Below are 22,886 nucleotides of genomic sequence, written 5' to 3'. Positions count from 1 at the left end.
TCGGGTGTCCAGCCCTGGTCCAATAAGCTGTGTCCTGGAGAACCATCACAGAGTATAAACATGGTTACCTAACCAACCTCTTCAGCAGAGGCTGTTGGTGGGTAGGTTTTAAAGAAAAGTTACCCAAAAACATGGTGGCTACAGCCATTTTACTTGTTCAGTACCTGTGCATGTGGTGGAGAGGGTGAAGAATCCAGAATTCCAGTACGGGGTTTAAGATCTAAGTCTATATACTGTGTGATATAAGTAGAAATCAATTTGTTTTCTGATGGTTAAGAGGGGCTAGTGATACATACTACATGGGCTTTCTGTAAGGATGAAGTATACTGTATGTAGGAGTGGTTCATTTATTCACTCGTTTATTTCACCATTCTTGAATACTTGAATACTTTGTGCTAATTGTGTATACATCCATGAGGTTCCTGCCTTTATGGAGCTTAGAGTCTAATTGATGTGCTCATTCTGGTAGACTGTATTGTGAGCCTGGGATAGCCTTACAGACTTTGCTTGCTTTTTTTTTTTTTTTTTTTTTTTTTTAGACAGGGTCTTGCTCTGTCACCCAGGCTGGAGTGCAGTAGTGCAATCTCGGCTCACTGCAACCTCTGTCTCCCAGGATTAAGTGATTCTCCTGCGTCAGCCTCCCGAGTAACTGGGATTACAGGCGTGCACCACCATGCCTGCCTGATCTTTGTGTTTTCAGTAGAGATGGGGTTTTACCAAGTTGGTCAAGCTGGTCTTGAACTCCTGGCCTCAAATGATCCACCTACCTCGGCCTCCCAAAGTGCTGGGATTACAGGTGTGAGCCATCATGCCCAGCCTGCATTGTCTTAAACGGATTTTATGTGTATCTTCTACATCTTGCTTAGATTCTGTGCTTACTATGTAACCACCTGATTACTATTATAATTCAGACTTCCACATTCGCCTGCTCCTAGAAAAGAAGTGTCCCAACAAAGATAGGCTAGGCTGTTTCTAGAAGGGCAGGTTTATTGTAGTCTGCATTGCGGAAAACTGAACTAACATGCTTATTTCTGCAACAGTCTTTTAAGAGTTTGGCTCCAGTGAACCAGACTCCATTTAGATGTGGTGCCACAGAGGTGGTGCCTGGCCCCACGAGGTCCTGTCCCAGCCATCAGAAAGCCTTGTGCACTGACAGCCCTTCTCTTCAGAGTGCAGCCTGTGTGTGTGTTCTTGCTATATCAGGCTAATCAGCAGAGTCCCTTTTGGCCCAAGACGATCTCCAGTGTGCAGCCGTTACCCACTTCACAGAGCTGGCTGGAGGGGAAAGGGCCTGGGAGCATAAAGCCAGGAGCAGAGGCAGGCATGCTAGCCCAGTCTTGGGCCCTTCCACTCAGCTTTATTCACTCCAGGATCAAGATTATGTTGAGAAGGAGACTGCAGGATAGCCTAGCAGTTAGGAACATGGACTTCGTGTTAGAGAAGGCTGCTTTTCATCTTGATTTGGTTACTTCCTGTGCTGATCCTGGGGAAGTTTCTTGGGTCCTCTCAGCATCAGTTTCCTTACCTGTAAAATGGGGATAATTGTACCCACAGCTATAGGGTTGGTATATGCTAATTCTAAAGGAATTCAGGGCCAGGAATGGTGGCTTATGCCTGTAATCCCAAAACTTTGGGAGGTTGAGGTGGGAGGGTAACTTGAGGCCAGGAGTTCAAGTCCAGCCTGGGCAGCATAGTGAGGCCCTGTCTCTACAAATAATAGTAATAATAATAATAAAGACAAAAGAAAGTTAGTGCTTCATGCAGGGCCTGACACACAGTGGGTGCTCAATAAGTGACAGCCACTAGAAAGACCACTGATTGGGGCAGCTCTGCCACAGATCGACCCTGGGACCTGCAGGGGGCCAGTTTCTCTCTTGTGGCCTCAATTTCCCCCATCTGGTCATAGAACTGACTTGGTGGTATCTGAGGACTGTCACTCCTGAGGGTCTGTGAGGTGGCTATAGCAGCAGAGGGGTTTACTGTCAGGCAGTGAGGCCAGGACAACCCATTCTGGGGCCAGACTCACTCCCCTGGAGTTCTTGCTTGGGCAGTTATCCTTGTCCCAGCCTAATCAACAGAGTCCAGCAGGAAGAAGGGTTGGCGACACAAGTCAGGGTCCCATTGGTGGCCTCATGGGATTGGGGGCTTTCATGACAACCCCACGCTGATGGTCCCTCAGTAGCCCTGTTGCATGGTGCAGAGCTGAAGTGTCAGGGGTGAAGACAAGCATAGTCGAGAAGGCTTCCTGGAGGCATTGAGCAGGGCTGGGAGAATGAAGGGATTAGACAGGCAGAGCGAGGAGTACAGGGCGTGGTGGGGCTGCGACTGCAAAGCAGGCATGCATCTATGTGCCCCAAGCAGAAGAAAAGCGGGAGCTGGGCAGCAGGAGGTGGGAGGGTGGGGCCTCGGGAAGCTGGTGAGCCGGAGAACTCCCTGAGAAGGGTGAGCCTTGAGGCAAGCCCTCCGGGCTGTGTGGGGAGGAGGGTGGCAGGCACAGGTGTGGCAGGGGCTGGGCAGCTCTGCAAATAGTGCTTTCTTCCAGCTGGATCCACAGTGCCTATTGTCAGGGAGGCATCCAAGGGCTTGTCAATGCCAAGTGCTGCCAGCTACCTGCGTGGAGCCAGCTGCCAGGCAGGCAGGTGGGGCAGTGAGCATGGGGGTGCTCCCTCCACCATGCTGTCACCCTGCCCAGGTTGGACAGGCCTGGTGTCCAGTTGCTGTGGCCTGACTCTGTGGACCTACTGGCTCTGTGGACCTCTCATGTCCCAAACTCCTCCAAGGCCATTTTCCTTGAATAGTTATTTCTCAGCAAAATATATGGGTTAGTGGTGGCCTCGGTGTGGCATGCAGCCCTGGAAATCCCACAGAAGTGCCAGAGTGACAACCACTGCTCACCCGAGTTGTAGCCTCAGGGCAATACCTGGCCGCCTTCCCTTTGGGGGACAAACAGGTTTCTACTGACTGAGCCCATGAGCATCTCCAAAATGTTATTTTTCCAAGTTTGAACACCAAGGGGCCTGTGAAGCTGGTCTTCCGATGGCTGGTCGGTCGGTCATCAGTAAATCTGTACGAGCTGACTAAGTGTCAGGCTGGGATCCAGAAGTGACAGAGGCCAACAAAGCCCTCATGGGGCTCAAATATTGCGAAGAGACATGTGACAAGTAAACCAAGGAAGTAATTCTAGGTGTTGACAAGTACAAGTCAGGAAACAAGCAGGCGCTGTGGAGACGTCAGCAGCAGGGAGGGGGCAGGGGTGTGGTCAGGAAAGACACCACTGAGGTGTTGTTAAAGCTGGGGACAGGTGGGCCTTGGTGAATGCAGGGAACAGCAGAAGGCCCGCTGGTTCTGGGAGGGCAGGAGTGAGCAAGGGCAGAGACGGGTGCCGGGCCAAGGAGTATTATTCTAGGTACAGCTGTCACTGCCTGCCTACTCGAAGCCCCGCAGCGGAGCTGACAGAGGTGACTTGCCTCCTCTGACTCAGGTGTACCTTTGCACAGGTGTCCTGTGAGTGGGCAACCCTGGAGATCCTCTGCCTGCCCCCAACACACAGACACTGCCTTTGTCCTCAGTGGAAATGACAGGTCTCTCACCCCCCTCCCCGGCTGAAGTGCAGGGAAAAGATCACCCCACACATTTTCTCCACTGTTACGTAACAGATTTCAGCAAAGTGTAAAGCAAACACTTTCTGGGGAGTATAATTTTTCAGGACCTTGGGGAATTTGGGTTGGGAAATTGCCCCTTCCTCATTCTCTCCCCAGCTTATCCTGTGGCCATGTGATATTACACCCTTCAGCAGTTGGGTTTTCTGTAATTGTTCCGGTGGGAGTGGGGGATAGCTGCCCTCATCCCTCTCAGCATCTTTTCAGATTCCATAACCTCATCCTCTGGGTTTCCAGTGCTGACCTAGAATCCTGGCCTCATTGTGGGGGTGTAGCTGTGGTGACCCAGTTCACCCAGATGGCCTGCAAAGTCTGGGGGAGCCAGGGCTCAGCAGGACTCCCCATCCTGGGAGCTGAGCTGTGGAATCCCAGGAAACTGACGGAAGCTTCTGGCTCATAGAACCCCCGAGTTCATTTCCCTCTGAAATATGCCGTGCATGATTATCATTGGTTTTGTTTCATCCAACTGTCTTAGCCCCAGCTCCACACTCCCCTTCTTAGCTGGGCATCTCTCAGGCTCCGGCTAAAGTTCGTTTGCCTCCCCTGAGTTTTTATTGGATCGGATTGTGGGGAAGTGGCCCAGGAGCACCATGGGAAATGAGCAAAGGCCAAACTCAGAGTAAGTTTGCCAAGGACTGTCCATAAAGCAAGTGAACTGTGGGTGGGTTTTGAGACTGGTGTGCGATAGCAGATCCCTCTCTCCTCTTGTGACGGGGCCCGTTGGCAGTGCCACAGGTTGCCCTGGGATCCCCATGTCCTGGAAAGCTCTAAGGACAGTGGCCAGAAGCCTGCATGTTCTGTTCTTCCACACTCCTGCCAGGAGGGTTATTGGGGAGGTCAAGGCCACCTGGAGAGATGCCTGCTCGTGCTAGCTAAGAGGGGGGGATTTTGGACTTTTTTAAAGGTGATCTCTTTCTGAATCACAGTATTTTATGTTTTACAAGATATAAAACCATGCAGTCTATAAAACATCTTGGCAAGAGGCAGGATGGATGTTGGCATTCTGTCTTTCCAAGGAGGAAGTTGAAGCCCAGAGAGGTGAAGTGACTTGCCCCAAGGTTGCACAGCTGGGAGGTGGGGCATGAGCTTCAGTCACTGCCATTTGACCAGGGTTTGGAGATCTGGATATTTGCATTGTAGATTTCACTTCTTTGCAAAGCCAAACTCCAGAGTGCTTCACCACATGAGTTCCCTGGCCACAGAGCACAGGAAAGCAGCGGTCAGTTGTGCTAAAGCCCCACTGGGGCAGGAGAAAGGCCAGGGGCAGCAGGTCAGAGGGAATCTGAAAGGGAAGAGAAGCATGTTGACTCTTTTCCCACAAGAGAGTTGCACGAGCATTCCCACCTTTGGCTTACCAGGTCCTTGGGGAGGGGCTGGTCTGTGTGGGTAGGTCAGTCTGCTTACCTGGTGGGCAGCACCAAGGGTGTGAGGTGTGTAGCTGTGGGGACCCAGCTGCCGGGAGGCTGGTCAGCACTCCAGCCTACAGTGCCTTCTTCTTTCCACTATGCAGACCCATCCTGGCCACTCCCCCAAACACAAACCCCCTAAGGAAGACCTGCCACCTGCCACCCTCTCTCCTTCCGCACCCCTACCCCAGCATTCATCACATCTCAGCCCTCAGTGAAATCCTATATGCAGGGGCTGCTTCCATAGGATGTGGTTTGCTCATTCAGTCAACAAACATGAGCATCTACTGTGTGCCCTGTGGCATGGCCAGCACTGGGGTGCACGTGGACAAGAGGCAGCTGTCCCTGTCTTCCCATTGCTGAAGGTGACAGCATCCTAGGGCTGTCTCTTTACCTGCAAGGTAAAAAGCCCAGGTGTAGTGAGTCAGTCATTTTCACTCTGCACCTACAGTGTGCAAGGCAGAAAGCAAAGTGTGGCTGAGGACTGGAGCTAGGACTCAATCTGCTCTGGGCACCGTGAGCTTTCATGAATACTGTCAAGTTTGCTCAGAGACAGGGACAGGGCCTGGACTGGGTGGGTCCAGAAGGCCTACTTCTGGAGAAGGTAGGCCTTGAACAAGGGGCAGGCCCCAGGTGGCTGGCAAAGCTGAAGGAGGAAGGTGCTCCAAGCAGAGTGAACCTGAATGATGCATGTGGAGGTGTGGAGGGTGAAGTGGACAGGTGGACAGGTGTGATCCAGCCACAGTGCCTGGGGGCTGCCTGAGAGAAGCTGGAGGAACTGGTCAAGGGCTTTGAAGGGCCTTAAATATAGACAAAGAGAGCTTTTCCTCTGTTCTTCCCCATTGCGCTGAGGGGCTGAGGGATAGCGGAGGCCTGGAAAAGTGAAGCCACGTGCCCAGCATCATAGTGAGTTTGAGGCAGGGCTGTGGCACATCTGTGGGCTGCTGGTGCAGTGGTGGCTGTCTCTGAGGTCCCAGGAGGACTGGGGAGTGATGCGGCAGGTGCCAGGTGAGGGGAGGAGGGGGAGCAGGGCTCTCCAGCTGCTGCCGCTGCTGAGCTGCTGCCGCTGCTGAGCTGCTGCTCACCTGGCCTGGGCCCTTCCGCCTGTTACTAGGGCTAGAGCCTGGAGCCAGGCAAAGGCACCTCCCCATCCCTGTGCATTTAAAGAGCCTGTTTTTCTAACTCCCCTCTCCTCTCCCCACAAGATCAGCTTCACGTGCCCCAACTGGAGAATGCAAACTCCCCCATCTAGCAAGGCTTCTGGGGGCCAGTGTCAGGCTGGGAAGGATGCATGGTGTGCTCCAGGGAAGGTGGGGCTGCCCTACAGCTGGCTGAGTCCCCCCTCAGGTCCAGAGGCTCTGCCTCCTCAGCCCCTTGTGTTCCTCCCTTCCCCCAGGAAGGGGGTGAGGTTGCTGTTGAGGTTGGCCAGGCATCCAGCTCTGGTGTTTCTGGACATGATGTCTTTCTCTTTTGTTTTCTGTACTTTTAAGCGGCATTCTCACAGGCCCCAGCCTTCTCTCTGCTCAGCGTGCTCACCATCTTTTGATTACAGCAGCATCTTGAGCTGCTGCGATCAGGGGTAGCATACAGGTTGGCAAGGATACAAGGCTTGGGGTCTTGCGCTTGAGACTGCAAGCCAGCACCTGAAGCACTGGCTACTTGAGTCTCCCATGCCTGGTTTGGCCAAATGACCTTTCTGTGCACTGGTGGGGCTTTCTGCCAGTTCTAGACACTCACTTCTTGCTCGAGGCATTGGGTCAAGGAATAGCCACTTGGCATGGTGCTCAGAGTGTCATGTTAATGGGCAGAGCAGTGGCGTGCCATCGAGGGAGGAAGGCCAGGCTTTGCGTAAGAGGAGCTTGGTCAACCCAGACTCTAAGCTCAGCCACCAAACAGCCAAGTGACCTCAGGCAAGCCACTTCACCTCTCTGAGCACCGGCTTTGCTCATCCACAGCATGGAGGGGTGATTAGGAGTGGAGACAGTGGCCATGGTTGCTTTCCAGATACCAAGCTTCCCCATTCCCCTGACGACTGTGCTGTTACCAAGCTGGGCAAGAAGCCCACTTTATCTCTGCAGTTCTGGAGCTCCTAAGATTCCATCTTACCCCTAGGGACCTGAAAACGGGCCAGTTTCAGCTCAGAGGGAGCAGGCGAGGGGAATTTGACCATGTTGGCAAGCCTTCAGCCAGCTCTTCCCCGCAGCCAAATGGGTCACTGGCTACAAACGTCTTTGGGTTTGTAATGATGATCACAGGGATCGTGGACTCCTGAACACCTTTGGAATGGGCTTTGTGCAGCCAAATGCATCACAGATTAAATTTCTGGAGAAGGAACAGCTGAGACATAGTCTTGAGCTTCCCTGAGCCACTTCTGTACTATGGCAGCCAAAGGGTGTGCACACGCACGCGAGGGGGCACGTGCATTTTCTCCCCTGACAAAAGGGTGGGAGGTGGGGCAGGAGCAAAAGACGATCTGATCTTGCAATTTGCAATAGCCAGTGGGCCAGCTGGTGCTTCTCGTGGTTTTTAGGATAGTGCCGGGAACAGAAAGAATATGATGAATGTCATGGAATTTCATGATAGGAGTTTGGGGTGGCTTCCCCTCCTTTTTAAAATAATGTTTTGAAAAGTTGCCCTGGAGAACTGCTGAAAGCAGAGAGGCTGATGGACGTTTTTGGTTATGTCAGATGAGGACAAGATTATCCAAGTGAGCGAGGGTGTCTCTCCCTGTCGGCTGGGCTGCGGGGTTCCAGGGCCGCCCTGCCAGAAAGCAAGCAAAGGGCCCGTAATCACAAACAGGCTGGGATCAGTTACAACCAGAAGTATTACTTTAGACTCTTGGCTTTGATGGGGAAGAATGCAGTTTTCCTTGGCCCCCTCCCCCGTCCTTCTCAAGTTAAACAAGAGCCATGAAAGCAATAGCTCTGGCGCTTAAAGAGAGGCTTGGTGCAGGGATCTCAAAAGCCAAACATTGGAGGGCTCCCCTGACCCCCACTGGTATCGGGGTAGGGATTTGCCTGACCCTTTTACTACCCCATTTCTTCTTGTGTGCACTGGGGAATCCTGTTTTTCCATACTCTTTCTTGTCTACCTGGGCCCTTCTCATCGCCTCACCTGTGTCGTGCCCACCAGCCCGTGTCCTGGCATTCTCTGAGTGCTTGCCATGCATCTTTCCTGCGTGGATATGTGGGTGGGAAGGAAGTCGGGCAGGGATAGCAAAGAAGTGGCTAGCACGTTGGAGCAGACCTTAACCAGCTCCTGAAGATAACAGAATAGGAGATTCTCATCCCTCCGGGCTCCAACCCACCCCTAGGGGACCCTCTTCTCCTCCCCTCCCCCTGCCTTAACCAGTGCCTCCTGGGCAAGCATCTGATTGACTCTTTCGTGCTTGGGCATGAACGACGCTGCTCCGGAGCACTGGCATTATGTGGAGTGTGCTTTCCCCAGCATTGATAACCGGAGCAGAACCAGGGTGGCTTGAACCTCATTGCCCACAGGGTGGGATTTTAACTGGCTGCTCCTTGTAGGAGAGAGAGGATAGTTACCTCGGCACCTGGGCTTTGCATGGGGAGAATGAGCATCCAGGGTTCCTGTCTCGCTGGCTCCCTCAGGAGAATTTAACCCTGTTCTTCTGTTTCCAAGCACCATGTGCAAGCACCAAGTGAGGCTCCATGTCCCAGGCCTGACTGCACAACCAGACACAAACTTGCCTCCTTGGATTTAAAGGGCCTCTACATTCAGTGGAGCTAGAGCATCTTGTTGGTGCTCATGTGCCAGGTGAGAGGAGCATTTGGACCTCAGGGGCCTGACCTGCCCTCCACACCCTGGTCTCTCCACTCCCAGGAGGTCATCCTACCACCTCAAGGCCCTTGAAGGAGAAAATCCATTCTAGAAGTGGTTCCAGGGTAAGGGGCTGGGTGGAATCATAGCCAGGTTGGGCAGGAACTCTGACCCAGAGACAGGACAGTGAGATTTGAGGGACGGAGACATCCAAATCCAATCTAAGGGCTATGCCAGAGCTGGGGAGCTGGAGCTGATGCCATGATATTGCAGTATTGCCCGCTTCCTGGGGAGTGAAGCTGTGGCTCCTCATGGGTGACAGCTGGGACTCATTGGGGGTATCTTGGCCTGCCACAGCCAGGGTATATTTAAAGGGGCAAAATAATCCCCTACCTCCATCCCCCCACCCCTGACTACTATTATCTGACTCCGTCTAGACCTCCCCATAGAGGCCTCCCTCCAAGGGAGGTGGTTGGAGGACCCCATGGAGGCTGGGAGATGGCAGTGTGGCAGGCAGGCCAGGTCAGTGACTTCCCCCAGCTTTCTACCCATCTCTCTGCCCTCAGGTACTTGGATCTTCCTGTTAAACAGTGGTAGAATATTGATCAAAGGCTGGGCCTTATTCAGAGCGGAGAAAACCAGAACCCAGCAACCAAGCAAGGGTATAGTCAGGAGCTAGAGATCAGACATTTGTTCATTCAATTCACTCATTCCCCAGCCTTTATCTCCTGCTGTATGCCAGGCACTGATGCACAGAGGTGAACAGGAAAGACTTGATCTCCATCTTTATGGAGCAGACAGTCTACAGGGGACACATACAGTTGCCCGCTCTGACCCAGCTGAGGGGACTGTGGTTGCTGGTTGGTTGTGGGACAAGGTGGTTGGCTCTCTGCAGGCCTCTCCCCTGTGGGTGCTGGGGGTGGGAGGCACCAGAGATTGACAGGTCAGTGTGGGAAGAGCTGTATCACTCACTGGTACTCATGGGTGTCAGTCACCACTGCCTGACCAGTCACTGTAACTGTGGCGAGTCTCTAGAATGAGAAACCTGGTCTGGGCCAGTGTTGTGGGGTATCTGGACTAGGGGAGTATCTGGTTTGAGTGTGGCCTTTTCTCCTTGGATTGGGGTGGGATCCGTACTAGACCAATTCTTGGGAACCAAGAAGACAAGATGGTTCCCAGAGGCAAAAGAGACAGGAAGGGAATGGGGCAGGAAGCCGCTCAGTGAGAGAACCTAATCCTAGGTCACCACAAACCTAGCTGAGGCCCCAGGATGGTTATCCCAGGACAAGGGGATTTAGGGCTCAAGTTAGACCCATTTGCTGCTTTCTGGAGACTTAATATCAGAAACCGATGAAACTGATGGGAAAGACAAGAAAGAGATTATTAAAGCACCTCCTATATGTCAGGCAGGGAACGAAACACCTTTTTTCTTATAATTATCACCACTGCCCTGTAAAGTATGGGTATTGTGATGCCTATTTTACAGTTAAGAAGGCCAAGGGCCAGACGGTTCAGGTCATCCACAGTTCTCCCCTGTACACTCTGCTGCCTCTTGGTGAATCCACTGGAGGCTTGTGCCATGGTTGTGGAGCTATTTTTGGTATGCCTCTCTCCCCACTGTCCTCTGGGAGTTGGGGCAAACAGGTCTCTGGGGCTGCCCATTCCAGTGCCCTGAGTTGCACCCAGGAGGACTTTGTTTGTGGTCCCTGGATGAGAGGCAGTGCCACCAAGATTCCCAGTAGAGGCCTGCAAACAACCTGTGGGGCTGCCTTGAATGGGCTTGGGAGATGCTGCTAGTGGCACCCCCTGCATTCCTCCAGGAATGTCGGCCCGTTCCTGGTGATTAGCCTGTGGGGCCTCCCTGAGCTTTGATCTTCCATTCCTGTAAGCGGAGAGGCCCAGATGGAAATGGCCGGGTCAGGTATCCAAGCAGACTACATGAGCTGTCAGGACTGGAAGTATTAGCTCACTGGATGATCCTGGGCAAATTATGCAACAAGCAACAAAAACCTCTGTGCCTTGGGTCCTTGAAGACAGATCCTCCTGGGTAAGCTAGAGATGCTTGCTGTGGGTCGAAGTCATTTCCCCAAATTGGGGAACTGGAAGAAGGAACATTGCCCAGAGGCTGAGTCACCGCACAGGATTCTAGCAGAGCAGAAGTTGCGGGGGCCGGCAGGAAGACAGCTGGAGAGAAGATGCCCAGTGCTGATCCCGCATTGGCCCCAGGAGCTGGGCTTCAGAGAGTCTGAGCTTGTCAGGATGCCAAGATGAGCAAGATTCGGCCTATGTCCTCAGAGAGCTCTTGGTCTAGCTGGGGGACTGGCCAACCCAAACCTAAGGTCAAGGTGATGGGGGAGCCTTGAGTTAGGAGAGCAGAACGCTGGCTGGCAGGGGAGTCAGGGGAACATCACAAAGTTAGTGGCTTTGAAGGACGGGGCCTGGGTACTACAGCAATGAATCAAAGACATCAACACATTTGGGGGCTTCTGAACCCTGCTGCATGTGCATTCAAAAAGCAAGACGGGGTACTTCTCCCAGGCCCCAAGAAAGGCTTCGAATCCTACTCTGCCACTGAATAGCCACTCTGTGGCCAGCATGTGGCCATTCTGCTCCTCAGTTTCCATATCTGTAACATGAGGATAATATTGGAAACCCATGTGGCTATTGGGAAAGGCCAGCTGTGAAAGAAAATTGTCAAGTGGCATATTCACCCTCCTATCCTTTTCTCTGATGGACAGGGATGGGCTACCATCCAGTTTAGGCAGTAAGTTCTACTGGGGATAGTTAGGAGTCCGTCGGGTTTCTGAAATGGCTTAGAATAGTAACCCCTCTGCCCCCACCAGCCTATAGCCTGGAGACTTTTTTTTTTTTTTTTTTTGAGACTTGGTCTCACTCTGTCGCCCAGGCTAGAGTACAGTGGCATGATCACGGCTCATTGCAGCTATGACCTCCTGGGCTCAAGTGATCCTCCCACCTCAGCCCCCGAGTAGCTGGGACCACAGGTGCGTACCACTATGCCCCGCTAAATTTTTTAAACTACATTTTTAGTAGAGACAAGGTTTCACCATGTTTTCCAGGCTGGTCTTGAACACCTGGACTCAAACGATCTGCCCACCTCGGCCTCCCAAAGTGCTGGGATTACAGGTGTGAGCCACCGCACCTGGCCTATCCTTTTCAAAGCATTTTTCTCATCTATTATCTCAGAGTAACTCTCTAAGGGTAAGTAGGGCAGGTGGCTTTGTTTCCATTTTTCAAAGGAAACAGTTGAGACCTCAGAGCTTGCTTGTGGCCAGGCTTGGATTTGAACCAAGGTTCGGCAGATTCTTTTTTTTTTTTTTTTTTTTTTTTTGGGATGGAGCCTCGCTCTGTCGCCCAGGCTGGAGTGCAGTGGTGCAATCTCAGCCCACTGCAAGCTCCATGTCCGTGGTTCACACCATTCTCTTACCTCAGCCTCCCCAGTAGCTGGGACTACAGGTGGAGGCCACCACGCCCTGCTAATTTTTTTTTGTATTTTTTAGTAGAGATGGGGTTTCACCCTGTTAGCCAGGATAGTCTCGATCTCCTGACCTCGTGATCCGCCCGCCTCGGCCTCCCAAAGTGCTGGGATTACAGGCGTGAGCCACCGCGCCTGGCCTGGTCTGCAGATTCTTTACCCCAAGCTTCACCTGAAGAAGATCAGTGGTTCCCCGAGAGTGGGTCGTGCAAACATGTGCTGGGCGGACACAGCATTGAGTGGCATTGAATCTCGTCATGAGAAGTTTCTTTCCTTTCAGTTCTCTTTCACTCCACATTGGGTCAAGGGGAGAATCTCCATTTGGGGCTCCTGTGCTGTTAACATCTGTCAGACGCTGGCTGATGTCATTTGTTTGTTTGACCAAGAGCAAATCTGACCCAGGCTTAGAATCTTGCTAGAACTTGCCTTGCTCTCTTGTTGAACTTCATGGCATTGTTTCATTGTATGTGTTTTTCCGGAATCTCCCGTCTATACCTAGGAATGCTGGTTTTCCATCCACTGTAGCATAGGAAAATGTCTTTTTGAAATACATGTTTAAGTTTTAAAAAATAAAGTCAACTTAAATAAACACACTAAGATGACACTAGTGTAGGTGTTACTCAGGTTCATTGGTTCACCTGGCCGGAGGGCTTGGGGAATGCAGAGTTAAACGACCCCAAGTGGGACTCTGTCTCTTAGGCACCTAGGGTGCCCTCTGCCTCTTGTCTCCTAGGGTGACACCAGTGGCTCCCAAATTCCAACTGGGAAAGGAGCCTGGAAAAGCATCGGCATTCGTGGTGGCTGCTCCCCACACCAAGTAGAAGAATCCACGTTGTCAGAGAGCTGCTAACGTCAGGCGGTACTGGATTTTTGCAAGCCCTCTATTTAAAATTCCCCAGAAATTAAATAAGGAGGCTTTGGAGGGAGGAATGCCCTAGACAAATTGTGGAGTGGGTTTGTTTTGTTTATGGAGATGGTCTTTAAAGTCTAAATTGTCCCCGTTTTATTTTTGCCCAATTGAAGAGGGGCTGAACTCAGCTGGGAGGGAGGGGATGGTTGTCAGCCTACAGCTTTTAGTTGAAACCAAGTCCATTCTGGGGCCAAGAAGCTTCCATTTTTAGCAAAGAGAGAAAGGGGAAAAATATACAAACTCGTACATGTACGCATCTTAGGCACTGGAGTAAGCCAGTTAAATGGATAAGGATAATCTTTATATTTCAAGTGACCACAGCTCTCTTCTCCAGGCTGCAAATAGATCTATTAAGCACCAGGCACATTTCTGGGCACTTTCCATTCTTTTCTTTTCTTTTCTTTTTCTCCCCACAACACTGGTAGTAAATACATGCTGTTTCATATTCCCATCTCACCAATGAGAACTTAAGCCTCATTCTTCAGTCTCTTCCTTCAGCCAATCTGAAGGACCAGGCACCACACTAGTCTGACGTTGGCTTCCTAAAGCTGTAGTCCACCCAACACCATGATACAGGGGAGGATCTTAGGTGGCAGAGAGGCAATATCAATCCTTCTGCATCACACAGTGGGAAAAGTTTGTCTCATTGCAGTTCTCTTCCAAGCCTTCTGACTTATCTCAGTTTGATGTTCGATGATCTTTAACCCCTGTCTAGCAAATCTGTGTAGCAAAGAAAGAGCGGGCCACAGGCTCAGCCTCTTCATTTGTGGCACGGTTCAAATGTACTACATAGCTTTGTTTTCATCGTGTGTGCTTTTCTGGTTGGAGCCAGTGGTCCTCGTTGTTTATTCATGGTGGCAATCTGAAGTTTCCTTAGCAAATTTCTTTCTTGAAGTTAAAAAAAAAAAAAAAAGGCAAATTGCTTTAAATATACAGTCCATTTCCAGACTTATGATGGTGTGACTTACAATTTTTCAGCTTTATGATGGGTCATTGGGGGTATTAAGTACATTTTGAACTTGGGATATTGTCAACTTAACGATGGCTTTATCGGAACGTAACCCCACTGTAAGTCAAGGCACATCTGTATATGTTATATGAACCACAGTATATGTAATTCAAGGATATAGCAAAGGTTGTGTGTGGTGTGGAAATACCTGAGGTTTGGGGAAAGCAGATTCAGAGTCACTCTTGCCTGGCAAAGCCCTTGGGTGAGATCTCGTGCCAGAACGCTCTTTCAGCCTGGGTGTCCCTGCCTCGCCCTACCATGTGGGCTTAGAGGAGAGGCAACTTGGAGGCAAGCCTGAAAACCACCTCTCCATGAGGAGTGGGAAAAGCCACACCCTCGACTCTTCCAAGACTCAGGGCTTCGTAGACACCAGTGGAGTGGAGGAGAAGCAGATGAGGGACTGGGTTTCTTGGCTCATCTGTCAGATGGGAATTTGGGGCATAATAGAGCAGGCATTTGGGGCACTAATAGAGCAGGCATTGCTGGTTTCCTTCTGCAAGACAATGAACAGCTGAGCTGGAGTGGTTTTAAGGGTCGCTGAATGAATGCTGTACTGGGTATGAGACCTGAGTGCCAATCCTGGCACCTCCCCTTAGCCACACACTCCTTGGGTAAGTCTCCCATTCTGAGTTTCCTAAGGCAGCCTAAGATTTCACGGACCTGGGGACAGACTTCTGCCCCAAGACATACTGAACACATGGTCCTCAGAACTCCTTTCTCATCCTCACTGCCAGGAGGGGGACCTGCACAACTCAGGCTGCCTGGACCCTCCCAGCTTGCACCTAAGATTTTGGCGTCATGGTTGTTAAAATTGATATTGCCCTTCCATTTGCTCCAAAAAGTTTGAACAGTAAATTTTAAGATCCTCATACTAAGCCATGTCCTTTTGTCTCTCCATTTAAGACTTTGCATCTTGTCAGATTTGAGCTGTCATTACCATCTGTTCAGACCTCTTTTTTGGCTCCTAATCCTGGCACAGCTTTTGCTAAATGAGATCGTGCTGCCAGTACTGTGTCTCTGTCCTCATCCTGGGTTGATTAAAACATCCAACAGGACAGGTTCCCATTGGAGCCACTCCGTCCTGCTGGGTTGTGCCAGCCCTCGAGCTGTGGATCTGTCAGTGCTTCCCTGTAGCCCCCAGGGCCCTGGGGGATCATGAGGGACACAAGGGCCTGGAGGTCTCAGCTGTGACACATCCCGGGCCCACCAGTCCAGTAGCTCACTCACTGCCAGGCCCCCTTTCTTCCTGTTGCACCCTTCTGACCGACACTGCCTGGGTGAGTGTGCAGAGCCCCTTCCCAGGCTCTCCCAGCATTCCTTAGGGAGTCCATGTTTTACTTAACCACGACCAGCATGAGGCTGCCCTTCTCTACTCTGGAATTCACCGCCTTCTTCTCTAAAAGCTGGGACCGTTGCCCATTTTGTGTCCTTGGGTGTTGCTCCCATCTCCATGTCTCCCACGATTGCTGATGATGACTGGAGGGCTCTTTGTCAAATGCTCTTGGGACCCTTCTCTGCGGCCAGCTGGTGAGAGTGCATTGAGGCAGCCTGTCCATGCTGTCCCTACCTCTGCCTGGGGTCTACTTACCCTCTGGGGATCCGTGTGCCAGGCTGAGACCCTTCCTTCTGAGAGCGAATGCTGAGCTGCAGACAGGAGCCCAGGAGACCCCTCCTCCCTGTGCCACACCCTCCTCAGGAAAGAGACTTAGCTCTTTCTTTTTTTTTTTTTAATTTTTTTAGATGGAGTCACGCTCTGTCACCCAGGCTACAGTGCAGTGGTGCGATCTTGGCTCACTGCAACCTCCACCTCCTGGGTACAAGCGATTCTCCTGCTTCAGCCTCCCAAGTGGCTGGGATTACAGGCATGTGCCACTACACCTGGCTAATTTTTGTATTTTTATTACAAACGGGGTTTCGCCATGTTGGCCAGACTGGTCTCGAACTCCTAACCTCAGGTGATCCGCCCGCCTCGGCCTCCCAAAATGCTGGGATTACAGGCGTGAGCCACTGTGCCTGGCCGACTTAGCCCTTTCTTACTCTTTCTCTTGCTGGAACAGCAGGGAAAACACCCTTTTTGTTCCCCTGAGCATGTCCTCAGGGCTCCACCTCTGAGAATGTAAGTGTCTTGACTGGATTCTTAGCAGGCCACCCCTTCCCGCCCCACTCTCCTTCCCTGACTGCCACTCTTCCATCATCTTCCATCGTCTTGCCTTTGACAGCAGGTCTCTCTCACCATCCACATCATTTACAGTTGTGACATTAGAGTTTACCTTCTTGCATCTTCCATCTTTCCTGAGCGCCTCATGTTTAGGAATCTGGGCACAGGCTCACACCTCTGTGCTCTGCTTAATAATGGCACTGAGAGAGGGCACCAGCTTGAGGTGAGTGCCTCATTTTCTTTTTTTCTTTTTTTTTTTTCTTTTTCTTTTTTTTTTTTTTTTTTAAGACGGAGTCTCGCTCTGTCGCCAGGCTGGAGTGCAGTGGCACGATCTTGGCTCACTGCAACCTCCGCTTCCCAGGTTCAAGCGATTCTCCTGCCTCAGCCTCCCAAGTAGCTGGGACTACAGGCACACGCCACCATGCCCAGCTAACTTTTGTATTTTTAATAGAGACAGGGTTTCACCATGTTGGTCAGGATGGTCTCAATCTCTTGACCTCGTGATCCACCTGCCTCAGCCTCCCAAAGTGCCAGGATTACAGGCATGAGCCACCATGCCCGGCCTTGAATGCCTCATTTTCATCTGGAATAATCCCCTATGAAGCCATTAGAGTGAGCCCATGCAGCCTGTCACTCTGAGGTTCAATTCAAGTCTCTTCTCCTCTAAGAATTCTTTTCTGCCTAGTCATTCTCATCTCTGGATATCTCTGGTTCCTTGGCAAGCATTGTATCACCCACCGCCATGTCCACTGCATGGGGCTGTCTGGGTCGCCCTGCCGCACCCAGCACAAGCAGTCTCGTGCCAAGTCCCCCTGCAAGCAGCCGCCCTTCTCATCCATCCACTGCTCTGCAGCTCCTGGAGAGGCCTCATGCCATCTTATAATCTCCACCTCAACCTGTCTCCGACCCCCACCCGTGCCAGGCACAGAATCAGACCCACATGTTTTCAGTAGAGACCTTCTGAGGTCAAGGGTAAATGACACTGACACCACGAGGGTCTCTCTCTCCCCCTGAAACTCCAGACACCCAAGACCTACCTGCTTCCCTGGCCATCCCTGGCCCCAGTCACCCAGGCGCATTGAGGTCTTGGTTCCTTCTTTAGAATTTCACTTCATGTCAGCGCTTTGCGACTTGTGCTCGTCTGAAGGCACTATTCTGATTCCAATCAGGCACTATTCTGAAGGCTTTTCAAGGATTAGCTCCTCTAATCCTCGTAACAACACTGAGATGTGGGTACTTTGGGTCGGTTTTGCAGATGAGAAAATTGAGGCAATTGCCCAAATTCATGCAGCTGGCAAGTAGCAGAGCTGGGCCTCAATCCCAGGCAGCCTGGCTCTGGCGCCCTCGCTGGAAACCATTCTCCGCTACCTGTCATTTAACCATGTGTCCCTCTCTGCCTGCGTTGCTTGTTAGTCAGGCCTCCTTCTGGGTGCCTCACCCATGACCTTGGTCTGCTCAGACACACCAGAGCCCTGTGGGCTTGGCGGGGACCCAGCCTAGCACTGGCTTCTGGGCCTGTTCGGTGAGGTGGGCAGGCTGGAGCTGAGTGGGAAGGTGGCAGCAGCCCAGGCTGTCTTGACACGGACTCCACGGAGCCTTCCAAATGGTGACGTAGCAGCCTGTGCTAATGGTCTTGGAATCCAGGCCCCAGGTGCCCAGGGGAGGTTCTGGGTCCCTGGTGGCCTCAGAGCCCGTCTAGGGGAGGGAAGGCCCTGGGCAACGGAGCAGGGTGGGCACAGGTAGGACCCGCTGAGTGGCTCATGAAGGCAGGGGCTGTGTGGGTGCACGCAGGAGGGACTGGAGGAGTTTCTCGCTCGCTCCTGTTTGCTTTGGACCATGGAGGCGCGTGTCTTGGCAAGAGCTGCAGTGACAGGGCTTTCTGACCAGGGGAGGCCTGGCCGAGGGTGGGCAGCCTTTCACTGGTCTTAAAGGCACAGCACTCGCAGACAGCCTGCATTTCCAGCTTCTCTGGTTCCACAAAGGCAGAAGCCTTAGCTCTGCCTGGAGGTCATGGGAAAGGGGTCAGGCTGGGTCCAGGACAGCAGCACTCACTTGGGCCCAGCCTTGTGCTGGGTGTGGTATGGGTAGGTAGGCAGCGCTGGTGCCATGCGCCTGGCCAGGATGCCCTCAGCCCTTTCTTCCTCTCAGTGTCTCCCCACCCGTCGCCACTTGGAGCTCGCAAATGCCCTATTCCCTTCTCCAAACCCGCACCAAGCAAAGAACTTGGAATGCCTAGGAAGATCACCCTTCCAAAGGGTCAAGGTCTGAGCTCAGGTTTAAATCATGAATAGAGGTGCTTTGAGAAGCAGGTCAGGGTGCTGGCTGAGGGTTCTGGAAGTGGGCTGCTGCTGTTCACCCACCCCGAGCCTATATGAGGAGGAGTTTGAGGCAGGGCCTGTCTTCCTCTTTTCCTAGCTCCACCATGCACCCTTCCCCACCTGGATACCAAAACCCTTACATAGGCCTGGGCATGGAATGAGTGCAGCCCACATTCTGAGCTCTGAATTACCTGGTGTTAAGCCAGATGTGAAGGACCAAGAGTAACTCACGGGGAAGGAAAACATGAAGCCTGGAAGTCATCTAAAGCCTCCTGGGTTTTTCCAAACTCCAAGCTCTGAGTCTCATCCTGCCTTGAAATCCTCTGGGTTTGTGCCCAGAGCCTGAAGCCCAGCCTTCTCCAGCAGGCCTCAGGGCCAGGGCACAGGCGGCAATCGAACCCCGCGTGTGCCATGCCTGGGTGATGGGGGAGTAGAGCATGAGTCCCGGATGCGTGTTGTTCACTGCAGTGTCCTCGTGCCTGGAACAGGACCTGGCCCGTACCAGGTGCTCGGGAAATACTTGCTGGTGAAAATCTCTGGGTATTGCATACACCATATGTTCCTGATGCCACTGGGCATCCCCAGGTACTTAGTATTACTCTGGTGTGCCAGTGAGGCTCAGAGAGGGCCAGTGACCTATCTCAGGTCACGCCAACAGTGAGTGGTAAAGCTAGGATCCTAACCGAGGTCTGTCTAGGAAGAAGGGATTAAGAAGCATCCTTGGGCTCAATCCTGGGCTGAACAGGGCTGGGAGGTTTGGGAGTCAGAGCGGGAGGACGAGAGGATTTCAGAGGGAGAGGAAGGAGTGGGGGGTCTCCCCTCCCCCCACCAGCTGTTTTGTCCTAGGCTGAGCTGTGACCTCAGAGGACTTAATTAACATCCTAATTGTGTGCAGCTGGCCTGACTCTGGCCCTAACGAGCTCATTATTCTCCCTCCTTAAGGAGGCCATTGTGGCCTAGTCACCCTGGGGACAGCAGTGGCCTGGGAGTGCCCGTCACTTCCTGCCGCCCTCAGTCAGGCTCCCCCATTCCTGGAGAGTCTAAGGCCCTGGTCCCTCTCCTGGCCTCTTGCTCTGTCTGGCTCACTCTTTCATTTCCCTCTGTCTCTCTGTGTATGTCAATCTGTGCCTCAGTTTCCATCTCTACTCTTTTTTTTTTTTTTTTCTTAAGATGGAGTCTCGCTCTGTCACCCAGGCTGGAGTGCAGTGGTACGATCTCGACTCACTGCAAGCTCCGCCTCTCAGGTTCATGCCATTCTCCTGCCTCAGCCTCCTGAGTAGCTGGGACTACAGGCGCCCGCCACCACGCCCGGCTAATTTTTTTGTATTTTCAGTAGAGACGGGGTTTCACTATGTTGGCCAGGCTGGCCTCAAATTCCTGGCCTCGTGATCCGCCTGCCTCGGCCTCCCAAAGTGCTGGGATTACAGGCCTGAGCCACCGCGCCCAGCTTCATCTCTACTCTTTCCCTCCCTCCTCTGGTGTCAGCATCAGTCAATTTGAGAGAGATTTGAAATTGGCCAAACAGGTGGACTCTGCTGGGCCGGTTCACTGAAGATGCTTAGCCTGGATAGAGGGAGGACCTGGTGCTTGGGCCCCAGCTTTTCCCTCCCGGGGCTGGGACATCCTCCCTTCCCTGCCCTGAGCTGGAAGTGCTGGCCAGAACCCCCCATGTTGCTGCCTCCTCTCCTCAGCCCCTGGGTCATTGCAAAGTGGGTTGTTACTTAAGGCTCACAGAGCATGGCTGGCTGTAAATGCCAGGCTACATGTTCGTTCTTTCTGGGCCTCTGCCATCTGGAAAGGGCTGGGCCCTGGCACACAGACATGGCCCGATGGAAGGACAGGCCAGGGTGAGGCAGCTTTGGGGTATTGTCCAGTTTGGGATTCTCCTAAACAACTTCTCCGGTCTAGGGGTTTAGCCCTGAAAACCAGGGCTAGAGACTCCAGAATAAAGGTTTCTGCCACACACCGTGTGTACCTGGGGTCCTCTCTCAGGGTTCCTCTAAAACAGGCTGCAGTTTCCCATTCAAGGGAATGAGCATGGTAGCCCCTCCCCTGGCCCCTGTCTGGGAGGGGTCATCTCAGCATAAGGGCACTCCAGGCAAGAAGACCTGCCTAAGCAAGGCCCTGGCAGGCATCAAACGCCCTGGCGGGTATCAGAGGGCCTGACTGCCAGGCTGGGCTGAAGGGTGCACTAAGGGGTCTCCTAGCCAGCCCAGGCCCCTTGGGAGGGTCCCCACTATCTCTTGCTGCCACCAAGCTCCCTGCCCCACCTCCCAAAAGATCCTGCTTCCTTTGTACCTGGAAACCAGGGTTGACTTCTCAGGGAAGAAGCCAGGTGTGGCAGCCAGCCAGAGAACAGCTGCCCCGAACCTGGGCACAGATAGGGCCACTTTCTCAGTCCACTTCCTTCCATCCTTCTGAAACCCCTGAAGGTAGCCCTAAAACCCCAGCTTAGAGCAGATGCATAGGCACACGCCCACACACACTCAAGGCAGTTTCCCCAGATGAGTGAGTGCCTCCTGATGCCCTCAGGCTGCCCTCTGCTTGTGCACTGCACAGATGCCACCTGGCCACCCGTGGGTGCTGACCCTCTAGTGATTAACGACCACCGCCATGTGGATAATAGCTCAACCTAAGCTACCTCCCTGCAGTGTCTCCTTTATTCCCCTCAACAACCTCAGGAAATACGCTCCATTCATTCCTGTCATTACAAAGAGGGTGACTGAGACTCAGAAAGGTCTAGTAACTTTCCTCAGGTCACACAGCTAGGAAGCAGCAAGCCAGGACCTGACTTCGAGTCTTTCTGACTGAATACCCCTAATTACCTCTGTTCCCAGAGGACCCTCAGCTGTACACATTGACACCCAGGTACATGCAGGCTGGCATCTCTCCTCATGGTGTGCACATACAAGACACCTGCTCAGAGATGTGTCCATTCTCAAGTATCTGTGTAAAGTACCAATATTCAGGGACATACATTCTCAAGGAGTCACCTTATACTCGTGCATGCAACAGACCTGTACCTTATCCGCTGACAGTGGCTAAGAACCTGGGTTCTGCAGCTGGACTCCCTGGTTGTAAAGCCTAGAGTCCTCATCTGCAAAGTGGGATGGATGATGACAAGAACATTTATTTCTCAAGATCCTCGAAGTGTGAATAAAGTCATATATGTGGAGCAAGTGCCTAACACAGACCGCCCTGCTCAGTGTTCAGCTGTCAATGTGTGATACACACATGTGCAGACACGGCCTCGGTGCTATGTGCATATCATGTCCAAGCACACAGGGCCTTTCTCCTTGGCTCCAAAGGCCTCCTGATCCCATATCTGGGTCTCTTCTCCACTGGAGGCATCCTCTCCTCTTCTTCATTCTTGGGGAAGCCTTCCATGTAAGTCCTGCTCCTTTCCTTCCCCAGGAGCCAGGGATCCCGGATGGAGGATGGGTCTGCACTCACAGGCAGCTGGAAGCTCCCGGGGGCGGAGCAGGCCTGGCCTCCGCTCCTACCTCTGCCACACAGGCCTCAGCACACAAGGAGAGCTGGGCAAAACTTGCTATGGAGCCGAATGTACGGCACAGGGGCCCGCTGGGCAGGGCAGCATGATGGTCTGTATCTCAGATTGTGTGGGTGGCCCAGGGATGTGCCCAGGGTTGTCTCTGAGTTCTTCCCATCTCAACATCTCTGCTGCACCAGAAGCTTCTATGGTGGCTGGACCACATTAACTGCTGACCAGGAGCTCCTCACCCTAAGATATTTAATAGCAACTTAGGATCCTATTAGAATCCTATTCTCCCGCTGTGCCGTCAAGACTTGGAGCTGAGTCTTTTTTTTTTTTTTTTTTTTTTTTTTTTGAGACAGAATCTTGCTCCATCGCCTAGACTGGAGTGCTGTGGCATGATCTCGGCTCACTGAAATCTCCACCTCCCGGGTTCAAGCGATTCTCATGCCTCAGCCTCCCAAGTAGCTGGGATTACAGGCATCCGCCACCACACCTGGCTAATTTTTTTGTATTTTTAGTAGAGACACAGTTTTACCATGTTGGCCAGGCTGGTCTTGAACTCCTGACCTCAAGTGATCTGCCTGCCTCGGCCTTCCAAAGTGCTACAGGGATTACAGCCGTGAGCCACCACGCCCAGCGTTTTTTTGTTTTTGTTTT

The 22,886-nt window shown here is 52.4% G+C and overlaps 1 protein-coding gene across 11 annotated transcripts in view, besides 4 other annotated features; it reads left to right on the top strand.

Moving 5' to 3' along the window:
• SH3PXD2A (SH3 and PX domains 2A) overlaps nt 1–22,886 on the top strand; it is a 261,550-nt gene that overhangs the window by 199,268 nt on the left and 39,396 nt on the right. The gene's annotated exons all lie outside the window — the stretch shown is intronic.
• Nucleotides 4,124–4,418: an enhancer, noted in NCBI's record as "tiled region #2777; HepG2 Activating DNase matched - State 5:Enh". NCBI's record gives its function as "activates a minimal TATA promoter and a strong SV40 promoter by Sharpr-MPRA in HepG2 cells {active_cell/tissue: HepG2}" and the evidence as "EXISTENCE:reporter gene assay evidence [ECO:0000049][PMID:27701403]".
• Nucleotides 15,724–16,519: an enhancer, noted in NCBI's record as "H3K4me1 hESC enhancer chr10:105399548-105400343 (GRCh37/hg19 assembly coordinates)". NCBI's record gives its function as "activates a minimal SCP1, AML or CMV promoter by ChIP-STARR-seq in primed H9 embryonic stem cells {active_cell/tissue: H9 hESC(primed)}" and the evidence as "EXISTENCE:reporter gene assay evidence [ECO:0000049][PMID:30033119]".
• Nucleotides 19,043–19,622: an enhancer, noted in NCBI's record as "H3K27ac-H3K4me1 hESC enhancer chr10:105396445-105397024 (GRCh37/hg19 assembly coordinates)". NCBI's record gives its function as "activates a minimal SCP1, AML or CMV promoter by ChIP-STARR-seq in primed H9 embryonic stem cells {active_cell/tissue: H9 hESC(primed)}" and the evidence as "EXISTENCE:reporter gene assay evidence [ECO:0000049][PMID:30033119]".
• Nucleotides 20,205–20,784: an enhancer, noted in NCBI's record as "H3K27ac-H3K4me1 hESC enhancer chr10:105395283-105395862 (GRCh37/hg19 assembly coordinates)". NCBI's record gives its function as "activates a minimal SCP1, AML or CMV promoter by ChIP-STARR-seq in primed H9 embryonic stem cells {active_cell/tissue: H9 hESC(primed)}" and the evidence as "EXISTENCE:reporter gene assay evidence [ECO:0000049][PMID:30033119]".

The sequence above is a fragment of the Homo sapiens genome, chromosome 10 (assembly GCF_000001405.40).
Source record: "Homo sapiens chromosome 10, GRCh38.p14 Primary Assembly".
In the NCBI taxonomy this organism is placed as follows: domain Eukaryota; kingdom Metazoa; phylum Chordata; class Mammalia; order Primates; family Hominidae; genus Homo; species Homo sapiens.
This window is presented reverse-complemented; position numbering and strand designations above follow the sequence as displayed.